The sequence below is a fragment of the Homo sapiens genome, chromosome 5 (genome assembly GCF_000001405.40).
Source record: "Homo sapiens chromosome 5, GRCh38.p14 Primary Assembly".
Lineage (NCBI taxonomy): Eukaryota > Metazoa > Chordata > Mammalia > Primates > Hominidae > Homo > Homo sapiens.
Window position 1 is genome coordinate 20,875,896 of NC_000005.10, and position 14,856 is coordinate 20,890,751.

Sequence of the window (14,856 nt, forward strand, 5' to 3'; positions counted from 1 at the left end):
TAACCACTCCTATGCAACATAGTACTGGAAGTTCTAGGCAGACCAATCAGACAAGAGAAAGAAATAGAAGATATCCAAATAGGAAGAAAGGAATTCAAACTATCTCTCTTCACAGATGATATGATGTTATGCCTAGAAAACCCCATAGTCTCTGCCCAAAAGCTCTTAGATCTGATAAACAACTTCAGAAAAATTTCAGGATACAAAATAATTACTCAAAAAACAGTATTATTACAATATACCAACAACATCCAAGCTGAAAGCCTAATCAACAATACAATCCCATTTACAATAGCCATAGAAAAAAATTAAATACCTGGGAATGCAGCTAGTCAGGGAAGTTAAAGATCTCTATAAGACTTACAAAATATTGCTGAAAGAACTCAGACATGACACAATCAAATGAGAAAGCAGTCCATGATCGTGGACAAGAAGAATCAACATTGTTACAATGGTCATATTGCCCAAAGAAATTTGCAATTCAGTGCTATTCCTGTAAAACTACCAATGTCATTTTTCACAGAATTAGAAAAAACTACTCTAAAGTTCGCAAGGAACCAAAAAAAAAAACTTGAATAGCCCAAGCAGTCCTAAGCAAAAAGAACAAAGCCAGAGGTAGCACACTGTCTGACTTCAAATTATACTGCAAGGTTACAGAAAAAAAAAAAAAATCATGGTAGTGGTATAAAAACAGCCATGCAGATCAATGGAATAGGATAGAGAACACAGAGATAGAGCCTCACATCTACAACCATCTGAACTTTGACAAAGTTGAGAAAAACAAGTAATGGAGAAAGGACTCCCTATTCAATAAACGGTTCTGGCTAGCCATATGCAGAAGACTGAAACCGGATCCCTACCTTTCAACATATATAAATACCAATTCATGATGGATTAAAAAAAAATCTGACATGTAAAACCTCAAACTATAGGTATAGAGTTTATATAGTTTTATAGTTTACGTAAAACCATAAAAACCCCAGAAGGAAACCTAGGAGATACCATTCTGGACATAGGCTCTGATAAGGATTTCATAACAAAGACCCCAAAAGCAATTGCAACAAAATCAAAAAGTGACAAATGTGATCTAAATAAACTAAAGAGCTCTGCACAGCAAAAGAAACTATCAACAAAATACATAGAAAGCCTACAGAATGGTTGAAAATATTTGCAAACTATGGATCTGACAAAGGCCTAATATCCAGAGACTATAAAGGAATTTAAATGATTGAACAAGCAAAAAGCAAATAACCCCATTAAAAAGTGAGCTGAGTATATGAGCAGAAAATTCTCAAAAGAAGACATGCATGTGGCCAAGAAGCATACAAAAAAGTGCTCAACATCACTGATTATTAGAGAAACACAAATCAAAATCACAATGAGCTACCATCTCACACCAAACAGAATGGCTATTATTAAAAAAACAAAACAAAACAAAAAAAAACAGTAACAGATACTGGTGAGGTTGTGGAGAAAGGGAAATGCTTTTACACTGCTAGTGGGATTCTAAGTTAGTTCAGCCACAGTGTGTGGGAAAGCAGTTTGGAGATTTCTCAAAGAACTTAACACAGAACTACCATTCGACCCAGAAATTCCATTACTGGCTATATACCCAAGGGAATATGAATCATTTTACCGTAAAGACACATACATGCACATGTTCATTGCAGCACTATTCACACTAGCAAAGACAAGGAATCTACCTAAATGCCCATTAATTGTAGACTGAATAAAGAAAATGTGGTACATATGCACCATGGAATACTATGCAGCCATAAAAAGAGCAAGATCATGTCCTTTGCAGCAACATGGATAGAGCTGAAGGCTACTCTCCTATGTGAACTAATGCAGGAACAGAAAACCAAACACCGCATGTTCTTACTTTTAAGTGGGAGCTAAACAGTGAGTACACATGGACATGAAGAAGGGAAACATAAACACAAAGGCCTACTTGAGGTTGGAGGGTGGGAGAAGAGTGAAGTTTGAAAAACGATCTAATGTGTACTACACTTGTTAACTGTGTGATGAAATAATCTGTACATCAAACCCCTGTTAACATGCAGTTTACCCATGTATCAAAGCTGCCATGTACCTCGATTCTATAATAAATGTTGGAAAGGAAAAAGCAATTCTTACCATTATATAGACACATCAAGTCTAGCAGTATGTAAAAAGAATTATGCATCATAGCTAATTGAATTTTATCCCAGAAATGAAAGGCTGGTTACCAGTTGGAAATAACAAATCCAAAAATATTTAAAAAGTAATGTAACAATGCTTTTAATTTGATTATAAAAGAAAAAAACAATTAAAAATATCAGATGCTTAATAAAACTCTTCACAGAGACAATATGTTAATATTCAAAAGCTTGTAAAACACTGCTCGATGTCACTAGTCTTCAAGAAATAGAAGTTAGAACTTCAACAAACTACAACTTCACAGTATAGGAGTGATAAAAATTAAAACAGCTGAAAATATTAATGACTCAGGCATTGTTACTGAGAATGCAAAATGGGATAACCACACTGCAGATGAGTTGGGGAGTTTCTTATAAAGCTAATATACACTTACAATACGGTTACAAACCATCACGCTTTTTGACATCTCTTCATTATAAATGAAGGCATCTGACCACAAAATGACTTTTGATTAATGTATTTTAATAGCATTATTCATATAGTCTAAAACTAGAAACAATCCAAAAATTAACAGGTGAATGGGCAATTAAAATGCAGTATATCTGTACAGTGGATTACTATTCAGCCACAGCAAGGGAAAACTACTAATACACACAGAAACATGGATGAACCTCAAAAATGTCATGGTAATTGAAAAAAAATACAAAAGATGACATACCTCTTGACTCTGTGAATATAAATTTCCAAACAAAATAAACCTACAGTGATAGAAAGCAGATTAGTGTTTGCCTGGACTGTAGATATTTGGATTGAGCTGACTGCAATGGAGAATGAGGAAACTCGACGGGGTGATACAATTGATATACCTTAAGTGTGATTTTGATTACATGATTTTATTAACTGACCAAGACTTAAGATGTAAATTTTAAGTGATTTAATTTTATGTAAATTTTGTCCAAATAAATATGTTAAAATCACTAGATTTTAAAAAGGATATGTTGAACTACACAAAATTTAAGAATTAAGTAAAAGACAACATTAATAAAGTGAGTATGTAAGACAAGTCACAGACTGGTAGGTTTCTCAATAGCCATATATGAAATCAACATTGTATCCATAATAGGTAAATCATTCATACAAATCAATAAGAAAAAAACAGTCAGTCTAATAAATATTTTAGGGGGCATTTGTTAAAAAAGAATTTACAAATGTTCTGTCAGTGAAATATACTTGACATTATCTGTGATCAGAGATAGTCAAATTACAACCAAAATATTATTCTACTGTATTCCCCTCCCATCAAAATGCCTAAATTTTTTTTTTTTTTGCAGGCAATCTGGGTGTTATGAAAGATGTAGACCAACAGAAACACTCATACCTTTCTGGTGACAATAAAACTTTGTACATTTATTTTGGAAAACCCTATTTTAGTGCCTTATAAAATTGAGCATTAGATAATTATGGCCCAGATGCTCCAACGAGAAGTGTATACTTAAGAGATGAATGCCTGTGTGCACCAGAAGACATGCACAGACAGGCATGATTATAACAACTTTATTCATAACAGACCTGAATTGCATCAAATGTTCAACAAATGAATAGATAAACAAATTATGCTATATATTAATAGGAAGGAATACTACTCAAAAAAAATAGGCAAACTGCAGACAACATTTTAAAATATATTGAGTTAAAGAAATGAGATACAGAAAAGTACATACTGCATGATACAATTTATATGAAATTCAAAGACAAGCAAATGAATCTATGGTGATAGATCTGGAAGTCAGTAACTGAAAAAGAGCATGAAAGTATCTTGGGTCAGGGCAATGCTAGGTGTCTTGAGAAACATAGTAATTTCCTTGGTGTATAGAATTGTAATATATCATCAAGCTCAAGAATATGTCTTATTCAATAACAATAACAAAACAAGTAAAAAAACTATGTGTTAAAAGACTATGTATAGGTTTAAGAAAATTACTCTGTATGAGAAAATAGACCTTTTATCCAACTTAACACTTTCCCCCAAAAAGGATAAAGTAAGAAAGGAAATAGAAAGCCTTTTAAAAACTTTCATCCCTGAACCTAACATTCAAAATTGATAAGATTATATTTATATAGAATATGTTCTGAAAACAGATATATTTAAGTATCTGATTTTTTATTTATGAGGTAGTCAGATTAAAATATGACAAATGTAAAAATTTACTATAAAATAGAAATGTATCATAAGTGTATTATAGATTTTATCAAAAATATTACTACCATTTTAGAGGAACTCTGTTGAATCAGGAAGTAATTAAGCTTTTTTCTATATTTTCTGGTGTTCACTTGCTTTGATTGAAAGCTAACAATTCATATTCATTTCCTTTCATTAGTTTTAGATACATCTATTAATTTATAATTTTTTCTATGCAACCAATAGGTCCTATAAAAATTTATTTTTGTTAATGTTACATTAGAGAACATTAAATATAAATTATTTTAAAAGCCTTCCCTTTTGAATGCTTTCTATAATTATCATTTACATAGTGATCACTTTGTCATTCAAATAAATTAAGAGTCATAAAGATTGCCTTTAAAGAAGAATTGTCAAATTGGTTCCAATAGATATGATTCATATTTTGAATCTTTGAGAAATGGTTAGAAATAAAAATAAGGTAAAAGACATACTTTCAACCTCATTGCCATATATTTCATGAACTGTAAGAGAACAAATTTATTGGGGCTATAGGCAACTTAAATAAATATATAACAAAAAATGACTCATTGAAGAAATGCGTAATAGACGCTTTGAATTGAACCACGACTAATGCATTTATTCACAGAATAATTTGTTTGAAATGGCCTTTATATTGGGCAAGAGGAAAGTCTATGAATGCGAAAACCTAAAACTGTTCAATAAATTATCAGCTTCATTTTGTAATTCCATAGTTGGCTTCTTTCTCTTCTATTCTTTTAATTCAATACAAATTTTGACTTTGGAAGAAATATTAACCTTAGTTTGATTGATAATTTGAAACACTATATTCAAGGAAACACTGAGAAATGTAATACTATAGTCGTTTTTTTTTTTTTTCTGGATTCTTTGTGACAGAAAGATAAAGATAAAGGAAAATAAATTACTAGGGGAGGTGAATAATAACCTTGTCAAAATGAACATGGGAAATGAAGATACTTGTAAAGTTGTGCTTTTATTTGAATTATGTATATAAAAACGAAAGATGAATTTCTTACAAATGGTTTATTTTTAACACATGAAGTGAAAATTCTATAATTTACACTTTATATAAACAAGTAGAGCCCATTATTGCCTGCATTTGTGCACTATTTCCAGTAGGAAAAGAACAAGAACACACTTGCAATTTAGAAATCCTGTAAGGAAATAAAATTTGAGGGCAAAACTTAGGGAAATCTCATTGTGAGCTATGGTAATAGCATTTTTTTCTGACAAATCTAAAGTATCTCAAAGGAATGATGAAATCACACACACTTGTTTCTACTAGATCACGGATTACAATTTTTGTCAGCATATGATGGGGATGAAGTGGTTTAATATAAGAGGGAGCACGATGATGTCGGGCTGAAAGAACCTAACCGAGGAGGCTTAGTCTGCAGCACACTTGAGACAGTGTCATGGGAAGTACTCTGAAAGAGTTGTGTGAACTTGATAGGAGAACCAGTTTCACGCTCTCAGCTTGATAGAGGTTAAGACTTTCTGGATTCTGCAGTTACATTTTTGTAGGTATTTTAGATACTAGATATGTAAAATAGTTATACGGCAGTAAAATTTGTTTTTCTTATTTCTCTCTTTCTTCATACCTGTAATGAAAGGCATATGGAGTTTGTATTTTAAATTTTTGGAATTAAAAGAAATTGGTGATTCACCAGCATGCTTAACTTTCATGGATAAATACTGTAATTTGTCTGTAAGGTGTATTCTGTTCACCCACACACTAATTAAAAAGTTTTAGAGACTGTTTTTCATAATCCTAGCTTTCACACACCCTATGCATGAAAATTTATTTTTCATACTTCAGAAGTAAATTGAACTGTATGAGTAGGTAAATAGTTCTTCCATAAGCATTTCCTGTCAGGAAATCGAGACTAAAGAGTGGACTGAGGCTGAAGGATGTACAGGTCTCATGCTCTTTTGAAATCACACTGAAGAAATGCTATACATTTATCTTGGAAAAGTACTACCGAGGCATTGCCGCTGCTTCAGTTAAATAAGTGATACACTGGGGATCGTACTTTCTAGATCAATTCAGAACGTAAAAATTTGCCTTCCAGGTTTATTGATATAATTAATATGTTGCTAAATAGAGAGACAATTTAGGCAAGATTCTTAGACATAATTCAGATCAGACTACTTTGAGTATCTAAACAGGCCATTGAGACTTCTTCCCAATAAACAGCATTCATTTACACATCTGAGCATATATATAAGCTCAGGTGTTTTACAAACTCTGCATTTAATAGCCAGAGTTCTCCAGGAGTAACAGAACGAATAGGATGTGCATAGATGTAGACATTGATATACATAGACATTGATTTATTTTAAGTAATTGGTTTACGTGATTATAGAGGCTGGCAAGTCCAAAATCTGCAAGGTGGGCAGACACTGTCAGGCCACCCCAGTAGAAATGATGTTGCAGTAGAAGTCTGAAGTCCATCTGCTTGCAGAATTCCTTCTTGCTCATGGGACGTCAGTCTTTTTGTTCTATTCAGGCTTTCAGATGATTGCATGAGGCTTACCCACATTATGGAGCGCAATCTGCTTCACTTAAATCTACTGATTTAAATGTTAATCTCACTTAAAAATGCCCTTACAGAAGCCTACAGAATGTTTGTCCAAATATTTGAGCATTGTGGTCCCAATGCACTGACACATAAAATTAACCATCACAAGTCCACCCCTTGTCCTTCTGGCATCCATATGCATCTCCTTAAACCATATTTAATCTCTAAAAAAGGACAATAACAAGGTCATACTTCCACTTAACATGAGACAACCGGCCTGCATACAACTGAAAATGCACTAGCAATACCTAAATACTATGATTTAAATCAATACACATTGTGTTACATAATAAGGGAAGAATAGCGGAAGTAAAGCAATGTTTGCTTAATATACGTACACAAACAATTGTAACTGGTTACTTGGTGTAGCTGATATTTCTAAATACATTCTTCCACTACTGTATTCCTTCTTCCATTCTGTATTCCTTTTCCCCTCAGCAAACCCCTCAGCTGATTGTATAACGTAATGCTAGATAAGCTATTTCTCAGTTCTCTCAGAAAAATAAGTGATGTCTCCCTGCTAATAATAGTATAAAATGATAATGAATATAGGCCACATAAGGACATGTTTCCTGCTCTCATTCAGCCTTCTGAGTAATTGTAAAATTAAACATTAAACACATAAACATATATATAACTACACAAAGTGTTCTTAATAAAAATAAAATGAAGTGCCTAATTAAATGGAGAGTTAGGGAACACTCAGTCAATAACACTTAAGATGAAATAGGAGTTGAATGGGAATTAGGTAAAGAGTTAAGAAGGAAAACATTATTAGTAAAGTGAGCCACATAAAGGAAGATCTTATTACAGAAAACACTTTATCACATTCTAGAAACTGTTATATTTGTATGCATGTATATATATGGAAGCTAGCAAAGAAAGAGAGAAGAATACTTTGGGATGATGTTGGAGAAGTAGACAAGGGCCAAATATTGCTGGACCCTGAGATTCAGTTTGAATAATGGAGTTTTAATAATTAAATAATGCAAGAAAAGCCACTGAGGATTTTTAAGCTGAGGGAAGAAAGTGTAGGCCACATATCACTCTGGCTATCATGTGGGAAAATGGAATTTGTTAAGGAAGACAGTAAAACGATTCTATTAGTTAAGATAATGCTAGCTGGTTGTAATGACTATTTTGCATGCCAACTTGGCTAGGCCATATAGTATCCAGTTATTTAATAAAAAACAAATTTACAGCTGTGTGCGGTCGCTCACACCTATAATCCCAGCACTTTGGGAGGCCAAGGCGGTGCGGATCACCTGAGGTCAGGAGTTTGAGACCAGACCGGCCAACTTGGTGAAACCCCGTATCTACTAATAATACAAAAATTATTCAGGCATGGTGGCAGGCGCCTGTAGTCCCAGCTACTTGGGAGGCTGAGGCAGGAGAATCACTTGAACCAGGGAGGTGGCAGTTGCAGTGAGCCAAGATCATGCTGTTGTGCTCCAGCCTGTGCAATGAGAGCAAGACTTTGTCTCAAACAAACAAATAAGCAACAACAACAACAAAAACAAAGTTGTGTGTTGTTGAAATGGTATTACATAGATGTGGTTAACAGCTACAATTAGTTAACTTTAAGTAGAGGAGATTACTCTCATTAATGTGTTGGACCTCATCCAATTATTTGAAGGTCTTAAAAGCAACAGCTGAGGTTTCCTAGAAAGGAAGAAATTAGCCTCATGACTGCATTGTAAAATCTTTCCCAAGTTTCCAGCCTGCCTGCCTGCTGTACAGATTTTGAACTTGCCAGTTCCCATGATTATCTGAGACAATTCCTTAAAACAAATCACACATACACAAACACCCCTCCTATTGGTTCTGTTTTTGTGAGGAACTCTGATTGATACTCCAGGTATTAATTAAAACTATCTGTGAATAAACACAAAAACAAATTTGTTTCTAAAATAACCATTTAATGTGGTTGTTCCTGGTTCACAGTTTTCCTACTAGTGTTGATTCAGAATCCAGATTTTTTTTTATTGTGTGCAATATAATTCCCTAATGTAGTTCACAAAGAAGTCACCACTTCTGAAGCTTGAGGCCCCATCCACAGAGAGTTTTCTTTGCTAGTTTGTTTGTTTTGTTTTTATTTCTAGTAGATTTGATTGGCAATGAAGAATTTGCATTTCTTTTTTTTTTTTGTCAGGTTTGTTGAAGATCAGATAATTGCAGGCGTGTCGTCGTATTACTGCATTCTCTATTCTGTTTCATTGGTCTATGCATCTATTCTTGTACCAGCACCATGCTATTTTGGTTACTGTAACCCTGTAGTATAGTTTGAAGTTGGATAGCGTGATGCCTCCAGCTTTGTTCTTTTCGCTTAGGATTGTGTTGGCAATTTGGACTCTTTTTTTGTTCCATATGAATTTTTAAATCGTTTTTTCTAGTTCTGTGAAAAATATCAATGGTAGTTTAATGGGAATAGCATTGAATCTATAAATTGCTTTGAGCAGTATGATCATTTTAATTATATTGACTTTTTCTATCCATGAGCATGGAATGTTTTTTCACTTGTTTGTGTCATCTCTGATTTCTTTGAGCAGTGGTTTGTACCTACATGCAGCCAACAAGCATTTGAAAAAAAAAGCATAGTATCACTGATCATTAAAGAAATGCAAATCAAAACCACAATGAGACACCATCTCACACCAGTTGAAATGACTATTATTAAAATATCAAAAAATAACAGATGCTGGCAAGGTTGTGGAGAAAAATGAACGCTTATACACTGTTTTGTTTTTGTTTTTGTTGTTGTTGTTGTTTGTTTTTTGTTTTGTTTTGTTTTCCGAGATGAAACCTCACTCTGTTACCCAAGCTGGAGTGCAGTGGCACGATCTCGGATCCCTGCAAGTTCCGTCTCTTGGGATCAAGCAATTATCCTGCCTCAGCCTCCCAAGCAGCTGGGACTATAGGCCCATGCCACCATGCCTGGCTAATGTGTGTGTGTGTGTGTGTGTGTGTGTGTGTGTGTGTGTATTTTTAGTAAAAATGGGGTTTCACCATGTTGGCCAGGCTGGTCTCAAACTCCTGACCTCATGTGATCTGCCTGCCTTGGCCTCCCAAACTGCTGGGATTACAGGCATGAGCCACTGCACCTGGCCATACACTGTTGATGGGACTATAAATTAGCTCAGTCATTGTGGAAGACAGTGAGGTGGTTCCTCAAAGACCTAAAGACAGAAATACCATTTTTCTCAGCAATCCCATTACTAAGTGTATACCCAGGGGATATAAATTATTTATTCTATTCATACTATAAAGACATATGCACGCATATGTTCATTGTAGTACTATTCACAATAACAAAGACATGGAACCAAACCAAATGCCCATCAGTGATAGACTGTATAAAGAAAATGTGGCACATATACACCATGGAATACTATGCAGCCATAAAAAAGGAGGGAACCATGTTCTTTGCAGGGACAGGGATGGAGCTGCATGCCATTATCTTGAGCAAACTAACACAAGAACAGAAAAGCAAGTACTGCATGTTCTCACTTATAAGTGGGAGCTAAATGATGAGAACACACGGACACATAGAGGGGACAACACACACTGGGGTCTATAAGAGGGTGAAGGATGGGAGGAAGGAGAGGATCAAGAAAAATAACTAATGGATACCAGGCTTAATATCTGGGTGATGAAATAATGTGTACAACAAACCCTCATGACACACATTTACCTATGTAACAAACCTGAAGAGTTTGCATATGTACCCCTGAACTTAAAATAAATATTACAAAAACATCAAATGTACTGCAATTGTTTTCCCTAGAAGGATTCAAAGATTCATAGAGGGCATGCATCAGAACAATCTAGAGTACACGAAAGAGGCAAAATTCCACAGCCCCAGTCTTGTTCTACTGAATTATAATGTCTGGTAGTACAGGCTAAGATATTGCATTTCTAACAATCTCCCCATATACTTGTGTGCCTTAAAATATTAGATGAAGTAGGCTAAGTCACAGGGAAGTGGTACAGATTCAAATAAAAAGAATGCATACTTATTTTGAAACAAGCAATTATATCAAGATTTCAAAGAATAACTAATTTCTCACTTAGCACTGCTTCAAAGTAGACTCATGTTTATTATCTATTAGGTGAAAATATTTGAGGGCGGTATCAGTCTCATCAATACGCAGGTCATAGAGATTGTAAGCATTCTCACCTTTTGTACATTTTTTGAGATTATGGAAATTTACAGTTTATGTAACAAAAAATAGAAAAAAAAATAAAGCTCAGTAATATTTCAAATTGACCACTGTTGGACAGGTAGAGAAAATAAGGCACAAAAACCATAAGTAGATAAAAATAAACATACGACTGTATCTTTACAAGGAATAACTTGCCATATGTTATTGTATCCTTTCTGAGGTACAAATGCATATTGACAGAAGACAGTAGTTTACTCCTTTAATACTGTACAGTCTATAAAACAAAACTTCACAGAATTGAAAAATGGTCTCATTCACTAATATTAAGAATTAGAATAAGTCCCCAGCTATCTTTGTTTTAACTTTAACAATTATATTAATTCCAGATTACTTTATAGTACAAAAGTTGTATGCAGTTCCAGGCTATCTAAGCAGTCTTGGAGTTTAGTTTATTTTGTTGTTGTTGTTGTTGTCTGTTTGTTTTTAATATGATCACCTTTACTTTTCCTAAATCTGGAAGAGAAATGCACAAAGTTGTAGTGGGCCTTGTATCTTATGCTTGTGGAAATTACTGTTGAATGTCTAGTGTCCTCACTCGCCCTGCTTTAGTACCAGGCAATGCAATTCCATTGCATTCAAGAAATGCTGGAGAGACCTCGATCTCAGAGAAGGTAAAACCCCACCAGGGTCCCAGGTGATGAATCATACTTTGTCAAAGCAGTAATAATCCGACTCAATTTCATCGGTGCTTAGTCTAAGGATGTTCTTATAATTCAGTGCTAGTCATGAGAAAAAATCAGCTGAAGAATCTAGTATCAGTCCATTCTCCCACTGCTATAAAGAAATACGTGAGACTGGGTTACTTATAAATAAAAGAGGTTTAATTGGCTCTGCAGGCTGTCCAGGAAGCATGATGCTGGCATCTGCTTAGCTTCTGGGGAGGCCTCAGGAAACTTACAATCATGGCAGAAGGCAAAGGCAGAGCTGGCACTTCACAGGGCTGGAGCAGCAAGGGCTGGGGGAGGTGCCATACAGTTTTAAGCAACCAGATCTCATAAGAACTCACTCACTATTATGAGAACAGCACCAAGGGGGAATGGGGCTAAACTATTCATGAGAACTCGACTCCATGATCCAATCACCTCCCACCAGGACCAACCTCCAACAGTGGGAATTACAATTCAACATGAAATTTGGGCTGGGACACAAATCCAAACCATATTAGACTTTTATCACCTACTATGTAGACAAAACATAGGTTTTTCTTCTGTTCTCATGCCACAGTTATCAACACAAGAAGTTTCTGTGACTAAATGTGTGGAGATTTCTCCCTATTCACAAGCAAGCAAGCAATTTTACAGCAGTTATCAGCTGGCAGCTCCTGATCCAGTTCAATTCTGATGCTGCCTACCTGAAGATTATGTCAGATCTCCGCAGCTTGAGAGCTCAGTCCCACAAGACTGCCCCCAGTTCCTTCACCAGTCACAAGTCCAGACCCTTGGAACTTCTGATCTATTGCTTCAAGTTGGAGTTCCCATGACCTTCTCTTTAGGCTCTATTAATTTGTTAAAGTGTCTCAGAAAACCCAGAAAAACATCTGTTTACATTTACCCTTTTATTATCAATAACATTTTAAAGGATACAAATAAACAGCCATATGGATAAATATATAGGGAGAGGTCTGGAAGGGTCCTGCGCACAGGAGCTTCTTTCTCACGGATTGGGGGCGTGCCACCCTCCTGGCACATATGTGAGCTCTTGTTCACCTTTCTGTAAGCCTTCACAAGTTCAGCTGTCCAGAAGCTCTCCATCCCCCATTCTCTTGGGCCTTTTAAGAAGACTTCCAGGGAGAGGTATGACTAAATTATGGACCACCATGTCAAAATGTGATTGGATGAAATGAGTGTGATCTAATACTGAGTGGAAAACCCAGCAAGGCCTGTCTGCCCAGATTCTTCTTGGCCCTTCTGTGCAGCATTCTTTTCTATAGGACTTGGAGCAGGACCCCTCCTGAAATGGGGATCTTATGACCCAAAATAGGACAAAGTAGTTCAGTGTATTAGGGTTCTCCAGAGGGACAGAACTAATAGGATATATGTATGTATCCTATTAGTGAGATATGTATCTATATATCCTATATATATCCTATATATGAAAGGGAGTTTATAAAGGAGAATTTACTCAATCACAAGGTGAAGTCCCACGGTAGGCTGTCTGCAAGCTAAAGAGCTAAGAAGCCAGCACAAGTCCCAAAACTTCAGAAGTAGGGAGGCGGATAGTGCAGCCTTCAGTCTGTGGCTGCGGGCCTGAGAGCCCGCAGAAAACTGCTGGTGTGAGTCCAAGATTCCAAGGTCAAATAACCGTCTGACATCCAAGGGCAGGAAGAATGGACAGAAGCATACAGCACAGGGCGTGGTGTGGTGGCTCATGCCTGCAATCCCAGCGCTTTGGGAGGCTGAGGCGAGCGGATCACCTGAGATCAGGAGTTTGAGACCAACCTGGCCAACATGGTGAAACCCCATTACTAATAAAATACAAAAATTAGCCCGGTGTGGTGGTGCATGTCTATTGTCCCAGCTACTAGGGAGGCTGAAGCAGGAGGATCACTTCAACCTGGGAGGCAGAGGTTGCAGTGAGCCACGATTGCACCACTGCACTCCAGCCTGGGTGACAAACAAACAAACAAACGAAAAACGCATACAGCATGGGAGAAAGGTGAAAGCCAGAAGACTCAGCAAGCCAACTTATCTCACCTTCTGCCTGCTTTGTTCTAGCCGTGCTGGTAGCCAACTGGATGCTGCCCACCCACATTAAGAGTGGGTCTTCCCCTCACAGTCCACTGACTCAAATGTTAATCTCCTCTGGCAACACCCTCACAGACACAATACTTTACCAGCTATCTAGGCATCCTTCAATCCAATCAAGTTGACAACTAATATTAACCATCACACTAGAAGAATTTCTTTATGAGCAGCTCTAAGACACAAATTCAGGAGATTAGGGTGTATTTTTAGATTCTATGGCCTGCCTTGAGGAGAAAAAGGAACAGGTAAAAGAGGAGCAGGAGGAGGTCAGAGAGAGGTTCTGTTTTCTGAGATTGCTTCCGGGGCCTAACGCATCCTAAGGTTATAAGCAAAGATCATCTTTCACCTTTATTGTTCTGAAGCTGTCCCAAAGCTGCTTCAGGACTGAAAAACAAAAGGCCAAATAGTTTAGCAAAAGATCTTCTTATTGTTTTAGTCACTTAGGAAATAATAGAGGCTACGGGAGTTATGAGCCAGGAACTGTGGATGAAACAAATATTTCTTTATCATAATATTACACCTACTGAAAAAATACTTTGCACAGCAGCACTTCCGAGGTGCCCGTCTTTATGCCCTGCCCTTCCTTACTACCACAGGCACTAAAGTGAGGGTTTATAACCTATGCATTTTGAGTAACGGGTCAAAAAATTACAGAGATGTGATTGTCCCTTGCCATTGAAACCAAAAATGTCACCAACTTCCAGACTTTGTGTGAAGGGAATAATACATTTTCTTATGGTTTGTGACAGTGTTGGCTTTTTTGTGAAAAGGTTTATGAAATTTTATACTAGTACTAATATACTAACAATGTTAATTCAAAGATTATCTGATCTGTTGTTCAGAATCTTAAAACTCCATGACTATGTAAAGATAGTAGGGCTGGCCCGGCGCGGTGGCTCACGCCTGTAATCCCAGCACTTTGGGAGGCCGAGGTGGGTGGATCACGA

At 36.3% G+C, this 14,856-nt stretch overlaps 1 long non-coding RNA gene across 1 annotated transcript in view; it reads left to right on the top strand.

Moving 5' to 3' along the window:
* Positions 1-14,856, top strand: part of LINC02241 (long intergenic non-protein coding RNA 2241) — a 325,854-nt gene that overhangs the window by 264,056 nt on the left and 46,942 nt on the right. The window lies entirely within an intron of this gene.